This window comes from Homo sapiens, chromosome 16 (assembly GCF_000001405.40).
Source record: "Homo sapiens chromosome 16, GRCh38.p14 Primary Assembly".
Taxonomy (NCBI): Eukaryota; Metazoa; Chordata; class Mammalia; order Primates; family Hominidae; genus Homo; species Homo sapiens.
In genome coordinates, this window is record NC_000016.10 from 53,117,760 (window position 1) to 53,137,673 (window position 19,914).

The 19,914-nt window shown below is 43.5% G+C and overlaps 1 protein-coding gene across 44 annotated transcripts in view, besides 3 other annotated features; it reads left to right on the plus strand.

Moving 5' to 3' along the window:
- Positions 1–19,914, plus strand: part of CHD9 (chromodomain helicase DNA binding protein 9) — a 272,507-nt gene that overhangs the window by 62,769 nt on the left and 189,824 nt on the right. For 10 of the 44 annotated variants that reach the window (NR_168111.1, NR_168117.1, NR_168123.1 and 7 more), the window contains one exon: positions 3,541–4,419. The exons of 18 other annotated variants lie outside the window; for them this stretch is intronic. The gene's annotated coding sequence lies outside the window, so the exon portion shown is untranslated. Of the gene's footprint in view, positions 1–3,540; positions 4,420–13,252; positions 13,540–13,732; positions 15,193–19,914 lie in introns of those variants that run through there. 16 more of the 44 variants (XM_047434704.1, XM_047434687.1, XM_047434705.1 and 13 more) reach the window with 3 other exon arrangements.
- Positions 3,765–3,965: a silencer, noted in NCBI's record as "peak2596 fragment used in MPRA reporter construct". NCBI's record gives its function as "represses an SCP1 promoter by STARR-seq MPRAs in K562 erythroleukemia cells {active_cell/tissue: K562}" and the evidence as "EXISTENCE:reporter gene assay evidence [ECO:0000049][PMID:32103011]".
- Positions 12,625–13,354: a silencer, noted in NCBI's record as "silent region_7494". NCBI's record gives its function as "represses an Ori minimal core promoter by ATAC-STARR-seq in GM12878 lymphoblastoid cells {active_cell/tissue: GM12878}" and the evidence as "EXISTENCE:reporter gene assay evidence [ECO:0000049][PMID:35858748]".
- Positions 13,685–13,944: a silencer, noted in NCBI's record as "silent region_7495". NCBI's record gives its function as "represses an Ori minimal core promoter by ATAC-STARR-seq in GM12878 lymphoblastoid cells {active_cell/tissue: GM12878}" and the evidence as "EXISTENCE:reporter gene assay evidence [ECO:0000049][PMID:35858748]".

A 19,914-nucleotide genomic window follows, 5' to 3' on the forward strand; every position in this document is an offset into this window, starting at 1 on the left:
GGAATGTTTTTTCAATTATCTGTAATGCTGGAGAAATCAAATATGTGCCTGTATAAGACCTAAATATTTCTCTTTTTTTTTTTTGAGACGGAGTCTCTCTCTGTCTCCCAGGCTGGAGTGCAGTGGTGCGATCTTGGCTCACTGTAAGCTCTGCCTCCCAGGTTCATGACATTCTCCTGCCTCAGCCTCCCAAGTAGCTGGGACTACAGGCACCCGCCACCACGCCCAGCTAATTTTTTTTGTATTTTTAGTAGAGACGGGGTTTCATCTTGTTAGCCAGGGCAGTTTCGATCTCCTGACCTCATGATCCACCCGCCTCGGCCTCCCAAAGTGCTAGGATTACAGGCATGAGCCACCACATGCGGCCAAGACCTAAATATTTCAATGGATTTCATATTTTAAGAAATCTCCCCTTGGGAGGCGGAGGCGGGTGGATTACTTGAGGCCAGGAGTTTGAGACCAGCATGGCCAACATGGCAAAACCCTGTCTCTACCAAAAATACAAAAATTAGCTAGGTGTAGAGGTGCACACCTGTAATCCCAGCTACTCTGGTGGCTGAGGCATGAGAATCGCTTGACCCTGGGAGGCGGAGGTTGCAGTGAGCCGAGATCACACCGCTGCACTCCAGCCTGAGCAGTAGAGCAAGAATCTGTCTCAAAAAGATGTCCCTTCTTTGTTTCCACTTAAGACTTTTGCTTAAATTGTGGAAGGTCACTAACTGCTTAACATCTAATGGTAACCAGAGAAAAAGGCTATACTGATTTATTTTTGGCAAAATGTTCTCTAAGATCCCACTGCTCTTAATTTTTTTCAATCATATAACCTAGAATTAATTTTCCTGGTTGGCATGTTGTTACTCATTCTCTAAAACCATGGGGTTTAGTGCAAATAAAGCAACTATAATTAATACGCATCCTCAGCCAAAATGTCCAAGAATTCCAAAAATCTCCAAATACTTTTACGTTAGATATCATAATGATGTCTTGATAAAACAAGAATGCTTCAAAACATCTCAATAAAAAAGATAACTTTCTTTTTTTTTTTTTTTTTTTGACAGAGTCTTGCTCTGTTGCCAAGACTGGAGTGCAGTGGCACAATCTCGGCTCACTGCAACCTTCACCTCCCGGGTTCAAGCAATTCTCCTGCCTCACCCTCCCGCGTAGCTGGGATTACAGGCACCCGCCACCATGCCTACTAACTTTTGTATTTTTAGTAGAGATGGGGTTCCACCATGTTGGCCAGGCTGGTCTCGAACTCCTGACCTCAAGTGATCCACCTGCCTTAGCCTCCCAAAGTGTTGGGATTACAGACATGAGCCACCATGCCTGGCCTAAGGTAAACTTTCTAAAGAAGGCCCCCCAACCTGAAAAAAAGGGACACAAGGAAACTTTTGGAGGCGATGAATATGTTTATTACCAGGATTATGGTAATGGTATCACATATGTCCAAACTCAGCAAGTTGTAGGCATTAATTATGTGCAGTTTTCTGCATAGCAATTATACCTCAATAAAGCTGGGGAGGGAAGAAGAAATATAATTTTAAAATTATTGAAGATTATATATTTTTACATTAAATTTGCAAATCCACTTGCAAAGAAAACTCACTGTTATTTAAAAAAAAAACAAAACAAGATTGTGATAATTGTTATTTATTTTATTCCTAACAGCAATATATGAATTTTGTAAGCTCTTCCCATGATCCAAGTAGGAGTATGAAAGCTAGCTCATGGGATTGCAGAAAGGTGGTGACAGAATTATAAGCATGGCTATCAAGTAAGGAAAAACAAGTCATCTGGGCATGGTGGCTCACACCTGTAATCCCAGCACTTTGGGAGGCCAAGGCAGGTGGATCACCTGAGATCAGGAGTTCAAGAGCAGCCTGGCCAACATGGTGAAATCTCGTCTCTACTAAATATAAAAAATTAGCCAGGCGTGTTGGCGCATGCCTGTAATCCCAGCTACTTGGGAGGCTGAGGCAGGATAATTGCTTGAACCTGGGAGGCAGAAGTTGCAGTGAGCCGAGACTGAGCCACTGCACTCCAATCTGGGTGCCAGAGCGAAACTCCATACTGAAAAAAAACAAAACAACAAAAACAAGTCAAGAAATGTCCAGGGAACTCCATTGCCATTTTCTCTTTTGTTGAACCTTATACAAGACAAAATGGATTTAAATTGCACCAGGAGGCTGGGTGTAGTGGCTCACACCTATAATCCTAGTGCTTTGGGAGGCTGACGCAGGAGGGTTGCTTAAGCCTCGGAGTTTGAGACCAGCCTGGGTAACATAGGAAGACCCCATCTCCACAAAAAAAAAAAAATTAAAAAATTAGCTGGTCATGGTGGCAATGCCTGTAGTCCCAGCTATTCAGTAGGCTGAGGTAAGAGGATCGCTTGAGCCCAGGACTTGGAGGTTGCAACAAACTATGATTGCACCACTGCTCTCTAACCTGGGCAACAGAGCAAGACCCTGTCTCTAAAAAAATAAAAATAAAAAAATTTTTTTAAAAAATTGCACTAGGATGGGTTTCTTCTGGAAATAAAATGCCTGTAATGCCTATAAAACCAGTTGATTGGGGCCAGGTGTGGTGGCTCACGCCTGTAATCCCAGCATTTTGGGAAGCTGAGGCAGGCGGATCACCTGAGGTCGGGAGTTTGAGACCAGCTTGATCAACATGGAGAAACTCCGTCTCTACTAAAAATACAAAATTAGCCGGGTGTGGTGGCGCATGCCTGTAATCCCAGCTACTAAGGAGGCTGAAGCAGGAGAATCGCTTGAAACCGGGAGGCGGAGGCTATGGTAAGCCGAGATCGCACCATTGCACTCCAGCCTGGGCAACAAGAGTGAAACTCCATCTCAAAAACTAAAACAAAAAACAACTAGTTGATTGGAAAAATACATGTTTACAGTTTCCATCACTCCTTAGGCTAAGTGGTATAAGTCATACATGCTTTCTAAAGCACACCAGGCCAGGTGCAGTGGCTCACGCCTGTAATCTCAGCATGTTGGGAGTCTGAGGCGGGTGGATCACTTGAGGCCAGGAGTTTGAGAGCAGCCTGGCCAACATGGTAAAATTCTGTCTCTACTAAAAATACAAAAAATTAGCTGGGTGTGGTGGTGCACGCCTGTAATCCCAGCTACTTGGGAGGCTGAGGCAGGAGAATCACTTGAACATGGAAGTTGGAGGCTGCAGTGAGCCAAGATCGTGCCACTGCACTCCAGCCTGGGTGACAGAGCCAGACTCTTGTCTCAAAACAAACAAAAACAAACAAACAAAAACCCTATAAACATACCAATTACAGTACCTGCAAATGAAGGTTAAGTGTTACCAAATTAATAAATATAATTAATTACTGTTTATTTGCTTTAGAAAATAATTGGCCATGAAGCCAGAGGACCATATCTATCTTGTTCATTGTTGTATTCCCAGCCCCTAGCATTGTGCCTGAGACATCACAGATCCCCTTTAAATACTTGCTGAGTGAATTCACTTTTTAAATAACAGCCACATTTCATCCTTTTGATCTCTCCAAACTTGATTTAGATGCAACTTCTCCAGGAGTGCTTATGTTACCCAAAGAGAAACAGATGCACAAAGAGAAGGAATGAGATGCTCGGGGATATTTTATCAAGGAAACCAGCAAACCGTCTTTTTCCTGAAGACCTTTTAAGATTAGGACAAGCAGCTGTTTATAAAAGCAGAACAGTGTTAAGATTTGAACTGTAAAGTAGGATCATGCTTTGAAGTATATTCTAGCTAAAAGCAGGGGATAAACTAGATAAAACTTGGAGACTCTAAGACCTGACCCTGATTAAGTGGGCCTACAAGTGAGAATCTGAAGAACAGCTCTCTGGCTGAACATATCCCTTGGATGTTGTTATTACCAGCTGCCTCTAGATTTGAGAACAGTGCTGAGCATGCTTTTAAATGATCTTTGAGGTACTTTAAGCTAGCTACACCTGAAAGCATACCTAGCCCTCATTTCTGTTTGCTTGAACAAGAGCCTGAAAAAGAAGTCTAAAGAACTTTCTAGTGATATCCTTCAGTCCTGTTCTAAAAAGAACCTGTGTTCTTCACCGAGTTAAGGAAATTTCACAACTCCCAGGGGCTAATGTGGAGTTCATTTTCACTTACTGCTGAATCAACTGAAGTTCCTTTCAGAGTCTTTTCCTAGAGTGGAAAAGTATCTGAGCTCTTCAACCTACTATTCATTAGTGCTGAGAGACAAAAATCATGTTAGAGTCTATAATGTAATGGAGCATAAAACATTTAAGTTATGAATCTGCATAAAATGTGTAAAAGATGAAAAAACATACTTTAATGTTTGTCAGTACTTATTGATCAGTGAAAGAACATTTTCATTAATGCCTCAGCCTGTGAATGGATGTCAATAAAGATGAGTGAGAAGGTATTTCATATACACACACTTGTTCAATATTTATTATATGTTTATTATTCATAATGTATTATTATTTATACGGGAATAATAATCTCTTCTGTAGCCAACACAGCACCTACCCTAGTATACATACATGGTGTAAGTATTTAAATATGTGTAAATTAAGTAAATTATAACAAAGTCACAAAACTGGTGAGCCCAATATAAGAAATGACAGTGCCACTACAACAATCTTCAAACTTTAAAAATTATTTACTGCGGAACTAATTTTATGAATATAATTAAAATATTATCTTTTTGTCTCAACGTGTTCATATGTTAGATTCATATATGTGGATTTAATGCGTACAATACTGTAACAAAGTTGGAAATTGCTGGCTGGGAATCCCTTTTTTTTTTTTTTTTTTGAGACAGAGTCTCACTCTGTGGCCCAGGCTGGAGTACAGTGGCACAATCTTGTCTCACTGCAAACTCCACCTCCCAGGTTCAAGAAGTTCTCTTGCCTTAGCCTCCTGAGTAGCTTGGATTACAGGTGTGCACCACCACACCCAGCTAATTTTTATTTTTTTGAGACGGAGTCTCGCTCTGTCGCCCAGGCTGGAGTGCAGTGGAGCGATCTCCTCTCACTGCAAGCTCTGCCTCCTGGGTTCATGCCATTCTCCTGCCTCAGCCTCCCGAGTAGCTGGGACTATAGGCGCCCGCTACCACGCCCGGCTAATTTTTTTTTTTTTTTTGTATTTTTAGTAGATAACAGGGTTTCACTGTGTTAGCCAGGATGGTCTTGATCTCCTGACCTCGTGATCCACCCACCTCGGCCTCCCAAAGTGCTGGGATTACAGGAGTGAGCCACCGCGCCCGGCCCACACCCAGCTAATTTTTATATTTTTAGTACAGATGGGGATTCACCATGTTGGCCAAGCTGGTCTCGAACTCACACCCTCAGGTGATCCATCTGCCCTGGCCTCCCAAAGTGCTGGGATTACAGGTGTGAGCCACCACGCCCGGCCTGGAATCACTTTTTTTTTTTTTTAACCAGCTTTATTGAGATAGTTTTATACTTGATAAAATTTATACTTCAGTGGTTTCTAGTGTATTCAGAGTTGTGCAAGTATCTCCACAATCTAATTTTAAAACTATTTTATTGCCCCCCAGAAGAAACCCTGTACATAGCTATTAGCAGTCACTCTCCATTCTTCATCCCCCTTCTCCCATGTCAGTCCTAGGCAACCACTAATCTACTTTCTGTCTACTTTCTTACTTTATTCTGGACATTTCATATAAATATAATCAAACAGTCAAGCCTTTTGTATCTGGCTTTCATACTTTTTATTTTTTAATTTTCATTATTATTATTATTATTTTGAGACAAGCGTTTTGCTCTTGTCACCCAGGCTAGAATGCAGTGGCTGTATCTCAGCTCACTGCAACCTCTGCCTCCTGGGTTCAAGCGATCCTCCTGCCTCAGCCTCCTGAGTAGCTGAGATTATAGATGCACACCACAACGCCTGGCAAATTTTTGTATTTTTAGTAGAGACAGGGTTTCACTATGTTGTCCATGCTGGTCTCGAACTCCTGACCTCAAGTGATCTGCCCACCTCGGCCTCCCAAAATGCTGGAATTACAGGCATGAGCCACCACGCCCGGCCTAATTTTTTTAAAATTAAACATCTTTGTGTAATAATTCTGTCTTCTGAGTTGGCTTACTAGGGGATGTATCTGGCTTTTATCACTTAGCATTATGTTTTCAAAGTTCATCTGTGTTGTACTATCAGTACTTAATCTTTTTTTATGGCTGAATAACATTCCAGTTTGTGTATATGCCATTTTTGTTTATCCAGTCATCAGCTGATAGACATTTGGGTTGTTTCCACTTTTGGGCTATTGTGAATCATACTGCTGTGAACATTTGTATGTAAGTTTTTGTATGGACATATGTTTTAATTTCTCTTGGGTTGCTGGGTTATATGGTAACTATGTTTAACTTTTTGAAGAACTGTTTTCCAAAACAACCATCATTTTACATTCCCACCAGCAGTGTACCAGGGTTCGAGGGTTCTACTTTCTCTGCATCTTCAATTACACTTTGTATTACTCTGTTCTCATGCTGCTAATAAGGGCATACCTGAGTAGGGTAATTTATAAAGAAAAAGAAGTCTAATAGACTCACAGTTCCACAGGGTTGGGGAGGCCTCACAATCATGGCAGAAGGCAAAGGAGTAGCAAAGTCACATCTTACATGGTGGCAGGCGAGAGAGAGAGCATGTGTTGGGGAAACTCCCCTTTATAAAACCATCAGATCTGGTGAGACTTAATTTTTTTTTTTTTTTTTTTTTTTTTTTGGAGAAGGTGTCTCGCTCTGTCATCCAGGCTGAAGTGCAGTGGCAATGATCTTGGCTCATTGCAACCTCTGCCTCCTGGTTTCAAGCAATTCTCCTGCCTCAGCCTCCCAAGTAGCTGAGATTACAGGTGCCACCACCATGCCCTGATAATTTTTTGTATTTTTAGTAGAGATGGGGGTTTCACCATGTTGGCTAGGTTGGTCTTGAATTCCTGATCTCTGGTGATCTGCCCTCTTCGGCCTCCCAAAGTGCTGGGATTACAGGTGTGAGCCACCACACCCAGCCTCGTGAGACTTACTATCACGAGAACAACATGGGAAAGACCCACCCTCATGATTTAATTACCTCCCACTGGGGCCCTCCCACTACACGTGGGAATTATGGGAGCTACAATTCGAGTTTTGGGTGGGGACACAGTCAAACCATATCACACTTACTATTGTTTGTCTTTTTTATTGTAGCCATCCTGATGAGAGTGAAGTGGTATCTCATTGTGGTTTTGATTTGCATTTCTCTAACAACTAATGTGTTGAGCATCTTTTCATGTGCATATTGGCTATTTGTAGATCTTCTTTGAAGAAATGTCTACTCAGATACTGTGACCACTTTTTAATTGGATTATTTATGTCTTTGTTGTTTAGTTGTAAGTGCTCTTTATATATTCTGTACACTAAACCCTTATCAGATACAGACTGTCCTTACCTTATCATGGTTCAAGTTAGGATTTTTTTTTTTTTTTTTTTTTTTGAGATGGAGTCTCACTCTGTCACTTAGGCTGGAGTGCAGTGGCGCAATCTCAGCTCACTGCAACCTCCACCTCCTGGGTTCAAGCAATTCCCCTGCCTCAGCCTCCCGAGTAGCTGGGATTATAGGCACGTGCCAACATGCCTGGCTATTTTTTGTATTTTTAGTAGCAATGGGGTTGGCCAAGCTGGTTAACCATGTTGGCCAGGCTGGTCTCGAACTCCTGATCTCAGGTGATCCACCTGCCTCGGCCTTCCAAAGTGCCAGGATTACAGGCATGAGCCACTGCGCCCAGCTGACTTAAGATTTTTTGACGTTGCAGTGGTGCTAAGGTGATACCCATTCAGTAGAAATTGTACTTTGAATTTTGAATTTTTATCTTTTCCCAGGCTAGAGATATATAGTAGATAATCTCTCATGATGGCTTAGCTTTCAGTCAGCCACATGATCACAAAGACAAACAACCCATACTGTATGATGGACTGCGTTGCCAGATGATTTTGCCCAACTGTAGGCTACAGTCAATGTTCTGAGCACATTTAAGGTAGGCTAGACTAAGCTATGATGTTCAGTAGGTTAAGTGTATTAGCTGCATATTCAACTTAACAGTATTTTCAACTTAAAATGGGTTTATCAGGACAAAACTTCATTGTAAGTTGAGGAGCATCTGTAATTTATTTGCAAATATTTTCTCTCATTCTGTTTTGTCTTTCTTTGCACTTTCTTAACAGTGTCTTTTGACACTGAAAAGGTTTTCTATTTTGATGAAGTTTAATCTACTTTTTGTGGTTTCTTGTATGAAAGTTTTTAATTTTAATGAAGTCTAGTTTATATTTTCTTTTGTCATTTATGCTTTTGGTGTCATATGAAGGAAATCATTGCCTAATCCAAGATCCTAAAGATTTACTTCTATTTTTCCTCTTAGAGTTTTATAGCTTTACCTCTTACATTTAGGTGTGTGGTCCCTTTTGGTTTATTGTTTTGTGTGGTGTGAGGTAGTGGTCCAACTTCATTCTTTAGTATGTGTGTATCCAGCAGTCCCACCATTGGTTTAAAGGACTACTCTTTCCCAATCTAAATGTCTTGGCATTCTTACTGAAAATCAATTGACCATCAATTGACCATAAATGTAAGAGTTTATTTCTGGATTCTATAGTTTATTCCATTAATCCATATGCCTATCCTTATGCCAGTTCCACACTGTCTTGATTATTATACCTTTGTATTAAGTTTTCAAATCAGGAAGTGTGAGTTCTCCAACTTTCCTCTTTTGACTATTCTGTGGGTATCACTTTTGCAGGTCTCACTGAGGTAGGATCTAAACCTTAGTTTTGCAGTTTCAGGATCCTTTTTTTTTTTTTTTTTTTGAGATAGGGTTTCTCTCTCTTTTCTCCCTTCCTTCCTTCCTTTCGTTCATTCATTCATTCTTTCTTTCGTTCTTTCTTTCCTTTTCTTTCTCTGATGGAGTCTCACTCTGTCACCCAGGCTGGAATGCAGTAGCACGATCTCGGCTCACTGCAACCTCCGCCTCCCAGGTTCAAGCAATTCTCTTTCCTCAGCCTCCCGAGTAGCTAGGATTACAGGCATGTGCCACCACACCCAGCTAATTTTTGTATTTTTAGTAGAGACGGGGTTTCCCCATATTGGTCAGGCTGGTCTTGAGCTCCTGACCTCAGGTGATCCACCCACCTCGGCCTCCCAAAGTGCTGGGATTACAGGTGTGAGCCACCGCACCCAGCCAGGTCTCACTTTTTCACCCAGGCTGGAGTGCAGTGGCGTGATCACAGCCCACTACAGCCTCAACCTCCTGGGCTCAAGTGATCCTCCCAACTCAGCCTCCCTAGTAGCTGGGACTACAGGAACATGCCACCATGCCCAGCGAATTTTTCTCTTTCTATTGTTTTGCAGAGATAAGGTTTTACCATATTGCCCAGGCTGGTCTCAAGCTCCTGGGTTCAAGCAGTCCACCTGCCTTGGCCTCCCAAAGTGCTGGGATTACAGGTGTGAGCCACCACATCCAGCTAGTTTCAGGATCTTGATTGTATAAGTTTTCTCCAGAAGTGAACAGGTACTACAGCATTGATTCATATTCCTCAAACTTGCAGGAAAACTCCACAAATTTACATTGTCAGATATTCTTTTGGTGACCTAAACCAAAATGCTTATATAGGGAATTTTCCATTCCAAGATGCCAAATTAGTTACTAAAATAGACATGCCTGATAAACATGGAATTGGAAACTCAGGCTGAGGGGAAGAATACAGTATAATGGTTACAAGTTATAGCCTTTGGGGCCAGACAGTTCTAAGTGTGAATATTGTTTCTGCCACTCAATGACTGTGTAACCAGGGCAAGATTTTAGACTATCTGTAAAATGGGGGCGGGGGGGAATCCCTTTCTCAACGGGCACAGTGGCTCACACCTGTAATCCCAGCACTTTGAGAGGCTGAGGTGGGTGGATCATTTGAGGTCAGGAGTTCAAGACCAGCCTGGCCAACATGGTGAAACCCCGTCTCTGCTAAAAATACAAAAATTAGCTGGGTGTAGTGGTGCAGGCCTGTAATCCAAGCTGCTCGGGAGGCTGAGGCAGGAGAAGTGCTTGAACCTGGGAGGTGGAGGTTGGTGTCCCGGGAGGTGGAGATTGCAGTTAGCCGAGATCATTCCACTGCACTCCAGCCTGGCCGACAGAGTGAGACTCTGTCAAAAAAAAAAAAAAAAAAAGCCCTTTCTCATAGAGTGGTTGTGAAGATAAAATGAAATAACAAAATATAAACCTTTAACACATTGCTTGGGACTAAATTTCAGTAAACGTATCTATTGTAGGATGTTTCTTTCAAGGTGAGGAGAGCCACTCCGTCATAGCACAGGCTTTCTGGATACCCAAATCCCTGTGTCCAGATAACAGGGCCTCTTTAATTGGAAAGACATTGAGTAGGAATGGAGACATTTTTTTTTTTCTTTTAAGACGGAGTCTCGTTCTGTCATCCAGGATGGAGTGCAATGGCGCCATCTCAACTCAGTGCAACCGCTGCCTCCCAGATTCAAGCGATTCTCCTGCCTCAGCCTCCCGAGTAGCTGGGATTACAGGCATGCGCCACCTAGCCCAGCTAATGTTGTATTTTTAGTAGAGGTGAGGTTTCTCCATGTTGGTCAGGCTGGTCTCCAACTCCTGGCCTCAGGTGATCTGCCCACCTCAGCCTCCCAAAGTGCTGGGATTACAGGCTTGAGCCACCACGCCTGGCCCGGAATGGAGACATTCTTACTCTGGAGTGGGATTGAGGGACCTAGAGAGTGTGGCCACCGCTTGGCTTTAGACAGCCCATTGCCTGGTGGAAATGGTAGGCCAGTGTTGCTAGATTTTGATGTTGTTCGTGATATTGATTCTTGCTAACTTCAATTGCAAAATGTAATATTTACTAATTTGACCCCTAAATTCTGAGATTCAGAGCCAACCTCTGCAACATTTTCCCAGAGTCCCCATATTCAGAAACCACAGTTACTGAGAATACCTCCAAAATTTAAGACAGAAGTGAACACCATTCACTGACCAGTGAAAATAAATGTCACAAGAACTTATGTACTTAACACAGGAGAACCCCACAGAAAATCTTTCTACAAAACCTGAGAGTCTAAGCTAATAAAAGTTTATCGATGTCCAAGTTCATAATGGCATAGACGCATCAAAAAAGTAGGAAAGAAGGTTGTTAGGTAGAAGAATAGAGAAGTGTCAGCCCAGTAGTGAGGAAGGAGATAGCAAAAACAGAAGTTCAAAACAAAACAAAAACACAAAAACCAGCATCCTAGAGGCCATTTATTATAGGGACAAATTTTGCATATTTTAGAGAACATTCACTGATTAAAATGGCATACAATAATGTTGATAATTATAGCACTGCTCTTTAATGACCAAGCCTAAGTAATTTTCAGAGGGCTGCATTCAAGAAAACACGAACGTTCTCTATCAGATGATGGGGAGGCCGCTCAAGTTTTTCATTTAAGTGGGATGTCATTCTGCTGTGATGTCAGATAGATGAGATGTTACTGGCCTTAAATTTGACTCAACAAGTTGAATTTGCAAACTAAAGCACTATCCAAATAAGTGGTGTGGGGGGCCCCAGAGATAAACTCTTTCTGTGCATTCTTGGTCTAATATGTGGTTGTTATAAGTATCCTTCAGGGAATCAAAGTTGGAACTGTAACCGCCCTTTCAGCAGGGTTTCTTCCCAGCCCTGTCAGTATCTCAGCTAAATAGAGTTATGCTGATCCACTCTGGAGGGCCTTCATGGGGAATATAAAGAATGAAATTACTTGGCAAATACCACTGTGTATACCGCAGCCATTCCATTCTGGCTAGGCATAAACAAGCGCAGTGTCGCTCCTTAGCGGAGGCTGAAATTCAAGAGATTTCTGTCAACTGTGAACGTGAAATATCACCTGCACTGGATCGGAAATGGTCAACAGTTTTGAACAAACATAAAGTAGGCCGACCGAAGTTCAAACATTTAATTCTTTTGTCTAGCTCACGTTTTCATATGGGTTTTAAATTTTTAATTCGGTAGAAAGCCAGCTAAGGACCTGAAAGGAGGAGACCCTTAGAATTTTAGAGCTGGAGGACTTTTGGACAACTTGTGCAGCCTCTTCCTTTTACAGAAGGCAAAACCAAGGCCCTAGGACACGCTAGGATTTGATGTAGGTCACTCAGTTAATTCGTGAAGGATCGAGAGGGAACCCAGGTTTTCCAGTACGCCCCCTGCTCCTAAACCAGTATCACCCTCCCCCACGGCTGTCTCTCTCTCTTCTTAAATTCTTGCGTTTATTTTTCTCTCCCTTCGTAACTGTGCAATGGAGAACGGGAGCCTGAGCCTCGGGAAGACAGGGTTGCAACCGCAGGCTAGGTGCGCGCTCTCCCCTAGCTCGCGGCGTGGAGCTGGGTCTCCGCGGCGGGCGCCGGCTACTGCAGGTGCTGGCACCTGGGCTCAATCGCAGCATCATCGCGACACGCTCCGTGCTCCCGATTCTACAGCACGGGCGCGTGACACCCGGGTCTCCGCGCGAAAGGAGAACGTGGGACTAAATCCACGGCTCCTTAAGAAGGACGTCTTTGGAAACTCTCGCCCTTCCTCGGCGGACCCGAGCTGCCCGAGAGATGCCCTGCATGTGAGTGACCTCTGCGCCGACCCCGCCACTGGTCAGCTCGCGGCTGGGGCGTGCCCTGCCGGGGCCTGACGTGGCGGCGGGGCCGCGGGGCGGGCGGCGCGAGGGGAGAGGCCGCCGTGAGGGCGCGGCCTGACGTGGCGGCCGCGGCGGGGCTGCCGGGGGAGCCCGGACCACTGCACTGCCCCGCGCTCCGGCCAGAGGGCGCCCGGCCCCAAGCCTTCCCCGCCCCGAGGCCGCCCAGGGCTCCGGGAGTAACCGCGCCAGCGATTGGGTCGGCGGCGCGGCGGGGCCATGTTGGAGCGGAGCAACGACCCCGCCTCGCACCGCCCTCCGCCCTGGGTCGGGCCGCGCCAGGAGGGAAGGGGAGCGGCGAAGGGGACGCTCCCTCTTAGGCAGCCCGACGCGGCTGGAGCCGCGGCAGGAGCGGCGGCGGTCACGACCGCCCCTCCGCGCCCGGGCCAATCAGCGGCGCGGGCACAAATATGCAAATAGCGCGCCGGTGCTGCCGGAGTGCCGCTCGCAGGGGCTGGTGGGGTCGCGCTGGGGGAGTGAACTGGGCCAATCAGGCGGGTGCGTGGCGGCGCGGGGGAGGCGGTGCCCCTTCACTCCTCCCTCCACTCCCTCCCTGCCCCGCGCTGACAGGGGGGCCTGGCCGCGCAGCCGGTAAGTGCCGCCGCCGCCGCCGCTGCCACCCACCGCCTCGGGCGTGGGGAGGAAGCCCGGGGGCACCGCGGGGCAGCGGCCGCTGCTCAACTGGTGGGGAGATGCGGGGGCGGGTCGTGTCAGACGGGTGGTCGCCTGAGGCCGCCCCCGCCCGGCCAGCCGCGAGTGTCAGTCTCAGTCGAGGCGGGGGGCGGCGGGGGCGCCTCAGTCATGGCGAAGCGCGAGAGTCAGCGAGCGGCGGTGAGTACGTGCAGCCGCCGCCGCCGCCGCCGCCGCTGCTCGGCCGGTGGGGGGAGGGGGGAGGGGCAGGCGGGGCGGCGCCCCCGCCTGAGGTGAGGGATCCGGTCCCGGGGCCGGGGTCGGGCGGGCGGGCCCGCGGGGAGGCCGGGCAGGGGGCGCTGCCTGCACGTGCGGCCCAGCCCGCCCGCGGCCCGCCCCGCGCCTGTCATGGCTGCGGGCTGCTGCCCCCGCCCCCCGGCCCACAGCCCCCGGGGTCGGGACACGGCAGCCGCGCCTGTTGCGTCGTGTGGAGGTGAGGGCCGGGCGGCCAGGGCGTGGGAAGGCGGGCCCTCTTCCCCGTCCCGCGCGAGGTCGGGGCCTCCCCCGGGTTGGGTTCCCTCCCGACGGTCGGGCTTCCCTCCATCCTGCAGCCTCTTTCCCTGCCCGTGCTTTCTCGCCTCCGTGAGTCATGACAGGGCGTCCCGCGCGGGCACCCGACGTCCCGGAGCACGGGACGTCCCCGGCGCTTTCCCAGGCCTTGCCTCTCGGTTCCGACCGCAGTGCCTTCCCCGCGATCCTTCACCCCGAGTGCCTCTCCCCGTCTGCAGCGTGGCCCGGACCCCGCCAGCCCCCGTGTGTGCGGCCGCCGTCATTTTCTGGGTACCTGGGTGTGGGACCTGCGGGATGGCTCCAGGGCTCTCTGCGTGGACATCCAGCCCAAAGCCAAGCACTACCCGGAAAGCCCGGGTGTCTCACTGGCTGTCACAGCTGCCAGCTCAGACTGGTTTCTGTTTGTTCTTATTTTTATTTTTAAAAAAAATTTTTTTTGGGGGGGGTGGTTTGCTTTTTTTTCTTTTTTAAGAAAAATAAAACTTTTCAGAACAAAGTAGATGAGAATTTTGTTGTTGTTGTTGTGATATTAACAGTGCTACAGTTACTTTCCTGAAAGTCTGGGATTTGACGCTATTGTGACATTTATTTATGTGAAATATTCATACCTAAGAATTCCCCTGTATTAAATAAAGTTTATTTTCATTAATAAAATTACCGTCAGAATTTAGTTTCTCAATTTTGTATGCTACTTTTCACCTTTTCCTTTTTTCCAGTTCTTAAAATCTCCAGTTCTACTTAACCAGCTATGATCTTAAACGAAAAGAAGGCTTATCTTGTGTAATGTTACCCATTCCCTAGACTCTAGATAACTGTAGAAGTAGTTTTAAAAGAACCACTAGGTCTGCAAACACTTGAATATACAAAAGCTGAACTTAAAGGAGGATTCTGCATTGCAGAGGGAGGAGTTTGTTTTTGTTTTTTGCAATGCAAAAGGATGATCATAGTGTTTCTTTTCCCTTGGGTTTACAGAACGTGAATTTAGAGATGCTGTGTTGTAACAACAGGCCACATGGAGCCTTACGTTCGATATTTGATAAGTATTAAATAAAAGACTTCTATTGCTCGAAGCAAGTTCTGTCTGTATTATGTATCTTCGAAGACTTTCCATTTCTTCTAATTCTGCTTTTTTTTTTTTTTTTTTTTTTTTTTTGGTGTTGAGACGGAGTCTCGCTCTGTCACCCAGGCTGGAGCGCAGTGACGCCATCTCGGCTCACTGCAACCTCTTCCTCCCAGGTTCAAGCAGTTCTCCAACCTCAGCCTCCCCAGTAGCTGGGATTACAGGTGCGCGCCACCACGCCCGGCCGTTTCTTCTATTGCTTTAAAAATTCACGTTATGTAGTTATAGTTTACCACAAAGTATTGGCAGGTCTCTGTCCTTGGAGAGTTTCCTATAAACTATAGACCATATAATGTAGACGTGAAGTCTGTATTACAGACCTGAAGTGCATTGGGAAAAGTGGTTGCCTCCCAGTTTTGATTAAGGGTAACTGTCATTCCTGAACAGTTTCAGGTAAGTATGTATAGTATTGCAGTTAAAAACAGCAACAACAAAAAACCCTTGTGATTAATTGACCAGGAGATGATATCCTAAAGGCACAGGAAATAACATCAGATAAAAGCAATGCTAGTCAAAAACATACTAAGTAAGGTGTATGAGCAGGCTACTTTAATCGGGGGCGGCTCTTAATAGGGAGGCTGAGGCAGGAGAATCACTTGAGCCAAGAGTTCAAGTCCAGCCTGGGCAACTTATTAAGACTGCATCCCGTCTCTATTAAGAAAAAAAAAATTATGATGCTTTTATAACCAGTAAAATCCTCTTCTTGGATAGAGTGCTGGCTAGAGAGAATCGGGACTTTGTCACTTAACTGTGTAGATAATATTAAGTTTCTTGACATCCGTGAGCCTTAGTTTCCTCCTGTGTAAAACTTTGTTTCCTCCAGTTTTACTATTGTAGGATTCTAAGTACCCTATGAGGTCTATCCTCTGAAATCAAAAACTTATGGGGTGGGCAGATATGAATACAGATAGAAAACGGTGTCCATGGAAAAAGCCCGTGACAAGATAAGATTAAGGAAACCATAGAATTTTCAACTTGGAAGTATCTTTAGAAACTTTAATTACAAACTTCTTATCTAATGCAACCGAATGCTTTCTACAAGGCACTGTGCTAGACCTTCCTGGTTTACCTCTGGAAACAGGATAGAGCTGAAGGAGGGGCTCGATATATGAATATAAGAGGCAAGAACTGAAGTAGAAATACAGATTTTAAAGTAAAATCTATTGCATCTATCAATAGTAAAACAAAATTTTGGTACATATGAAAAGTTAAGATTTTCTAAAGATGTGTTTATTGATCGAAATGTCATAGAAAAAAAAGCTTACCTCCGTAAATAACAGAGAAGAAAAATGAAATCCTAGAGAGTCTATAAAGAAAAACTATGAATTAATCTACTGGGGAAATTTCATCGGGTAATGAGTGAATAAAAAACACAGGTAAGAATATGGAAACTTGAGGCAGTTGGTCAGAGTAAAAACTAATGGAAGCATGTTGTAAGTGCTTGGAAAACTTCAGAAGCCAAAGATTGGAGTCAGAAGAGATTTATGGATACTGATGAGATAGAGTTATTTTAACCTTTCAAATTCTTTGAAGTTGTCTTAACGTGGGATATAGATTTCTTATATAAGATTTAGCTTTTTTACACTTATTTACGTTGTAAATTTAAAGTGCCACATTCCAGTTTTATAACTGTTCCCTAGCACTTTGTGCCTCTGTTTACTTCCTTATTTGGGCTTCACTCCCTTACTTTTCCACCTCTTGGAATTTTACCAGTCTGTGAATACTCAGGTCAAATTCCACCTTGTGAATAAAATCGTATCTTGTCCTTGTAGCCCTTAGGGATTTCTCCTTCCCATGAGATCTTAGTATAATTATTTGTTGCACTTATTTGGCATACCATGTACAACTTCCTGACATTTCCTCTACTGTATTGTCTTTAAGCTTTCAGAAACAATTTTTATTCCTTTCTTTTAGAAACAGTTGGAAAGCTGATCAAGTGACAATGGGAGACCCAAAGAAGGGGAAACCACTTTGAACTGTAATTTATTCTCTGGACTCAAAGTCATTCACATCCATTTATTCATTAAATGTATATATTATGAAGTGCTCCCTTAATTTATGATATATGTATTAAGTGCATAATAAGTGATCCCTGCCTTCATGGAACCTACCATCTAACAGTGCAAACAGATAAAGAACAAGTAAATAAACAAATGGAAAATTACAACTTATGATCAGTTCAGTGAAATAAAAGAACAGAGTGCTATGGTGGAGAAAATGGGGAGAAATTAATGTTGTATTCTCAGAGAAGGCTTCCCTCAGTTGGTGATTCTAAGTGGAAACAGAATAAGAAGACAGGTCAGGAGAGAAAAGAGTTTCTTGGAAGAGAGAAAAATATGTTTGAAGGCTATGACACAGGAAAGAACTTAATATTTGAAAGAAATGAAAAGTTCAGGATGGCAGAAGCATAATAAGGCAGAAAACCATATGAGCTGAAATGAGAGATAGAAAGCAGATTATACAGGGCCTTGTGGGGCATATTAAAGACTTACAGGTTTTACTAAAGACATTGCAGTCGTTGAAGATTTTGAATTAGAGAAGTGATACGCTTTAATCTACATTTTAAAAATGCTACTTTGAGAATGGATTGGAGAAAGGCAAGGGTGAAAGTAAAGATATTGTAATACTACAGTAGTCCAGGAAAAACATGATGGTAGCCAGATTATACATATATTTTAGAGAGGAGATGGTGAGGTGTGGAGGAGGAACAACTGACAGATTCATGATGGATTGGATGTGAGAAGAAAAGTGTCAAAAATGATTTCCTGGTTCCTGGCTTGAGAAACTAGATAGATAGTGGTGTGTGATTTACTGAGATGAAGAAGATGAGGGAAAGGAAAGATTTGGCAAGAAAACAAGTTTTGAACACCATCCCTGGACAAGTGCTTCAGAAGAAGTCTACCTTTATCTGAATGATAAGCGCCTTAGAATAGGTTTAGCTAGAAGTGTGATACCATACAATGACATATTCATATTGTGTTATTTGAGAGGAAGAAGCAAGCTTCATATTTATGTTAGAAAAACTGGTGAAATGATCTTTTTTAACAATGCACTTCAGTTTTTGAAAGTTTATTTGAATATTTTCATAATGGATTATATTAAATATGAAAATTTGAGAGAAATAAATCAATATAATATTGAATGGATATATATAGTATTGGGTGATGGTGCAGAATACAAAAGTTTTATAATCTTGATATTCTCAGGAGAGTAGCATTCTTTTCAGTTATTAGCTTGTAAGGGAGCCTGATAATTTATAATTTTTAATGAGGCTTCTCATTTAATGGTGCTTATAAGTAGAAGTTATAGTTCAGTCATTACTAGCTATTATTTCTAAAATAGCTGTCAGATACTGATGTTTCTGTTACAATTTGGCATTATGAAGTTAACCAAGCAAATATTAAGTTTGGTTTTTGTTTGATTTTTACTATATTTCAAAACATTTTAAAACTAGTAATTTTAAACATTGTTATTGCTATAAAGGGACATAGTTTGAAACCAGAAAAAAGATGACCTTTCTTGTCTAGTGGTCTTTTCATATTAGTTTACTTACTAATCAGTAGCAGTATAAAGAATATTCAATTTTATTCTATTGGAAATCAGTAACTATGGTTCTGAAAGATAACTGCTGATGTATCTTGTTCCTTTGTAAGAGGAAGGAAAAAATGATATTTTTTGATTCTGTCTTTGCAATGTTTATCTTTAAAATGGCAATCAAATAGTCACTAAAATTTTTTTCTTCCATTTAAGGAACTGAGTACCTTTTCCTAAAAAAAAAAAAAAAATCTAGGAATTTAAGATTACAGACTTGGTGTAGTCTGTTTTACAGTTGAAGCAACGGAGGTACAGAGAAACTGAGTTGCCCGGGGTTTCTAATATTAGGGAATGCTTTATTTCATGGGTTTCATAATTTAGTGAATTCACTACATATTCCAATATATGAACACACTTATTCTGCTTTGGTGAGTGTTTATTGAAATCAGTATTGTTATTGGCACCCTGAAAGCTTTCCTTATATTCTTTTCTAGTTATTCCCTTTCTGTATTCTGTATTCCCAAGATAATAGGGTGACCATTATCTTGATGTCTAAAAACCATAGATTAGGTCTGCCTATTTTTGAACTTTATTAAATGAAATCATATAATAAGTGTTCCTCGAGTAACATTATTTTTGTGAGACTAATCTGTGTTTTTCTTTTTTTTTTTGAGACAGAGTCTTGCTCTGTCGCCAGGCTGGAGTGCAGTGGTGCAATCTCGGCTCACTGCAACCTCCACTTCCCAGGTTCAAGTGATTCTCCTGCCTTAGCCTCCCAAGTAGCTGGGCTTACAAGCACCTGCCACCACGCCCAGCTAATTTTTGTATTTTTAGTAGAGACGGGGTTTCACCATGTTGGCCAGGATGGTCTCGATCTCTTGACCTCCTGACCTGCCCGCCTCGGCCTCCCAAAGTGTTGGGATTACAGGTGTGAGCCACCGTGCCTGGCCTAATCTGTATTTTTCTATATAGGAAGAGTTTATTCATTCTCATTGCTGTTGATTCTAATGTATGATGGATGTTTTTAGTTTTGCACTATTATGAATAATACTGATATGAACATTCCTACACCCATCTTTCGGTGCACATGTGCCCACGTTTCTGTCAAGTTTGTATTTCTGGAAGTGGAAAAACTGGTCATAGAAATATGTATGTTCAACTTTAGCAGTAATGCCTTATGGTTTTTCAAATTTGTTGTTCCAATTTCTACTCCTTTTAGCAGTGTGTGAGAGCGCCAGTTACTTCACATTTAATTGTATGATTTGATTAAAATGCTGCTATATTTGAAAAATTTTGTGCTCTTCTTTAATCTCTGAAGATGAGTATTTGATGATGAATAGCTATTTCTGCCT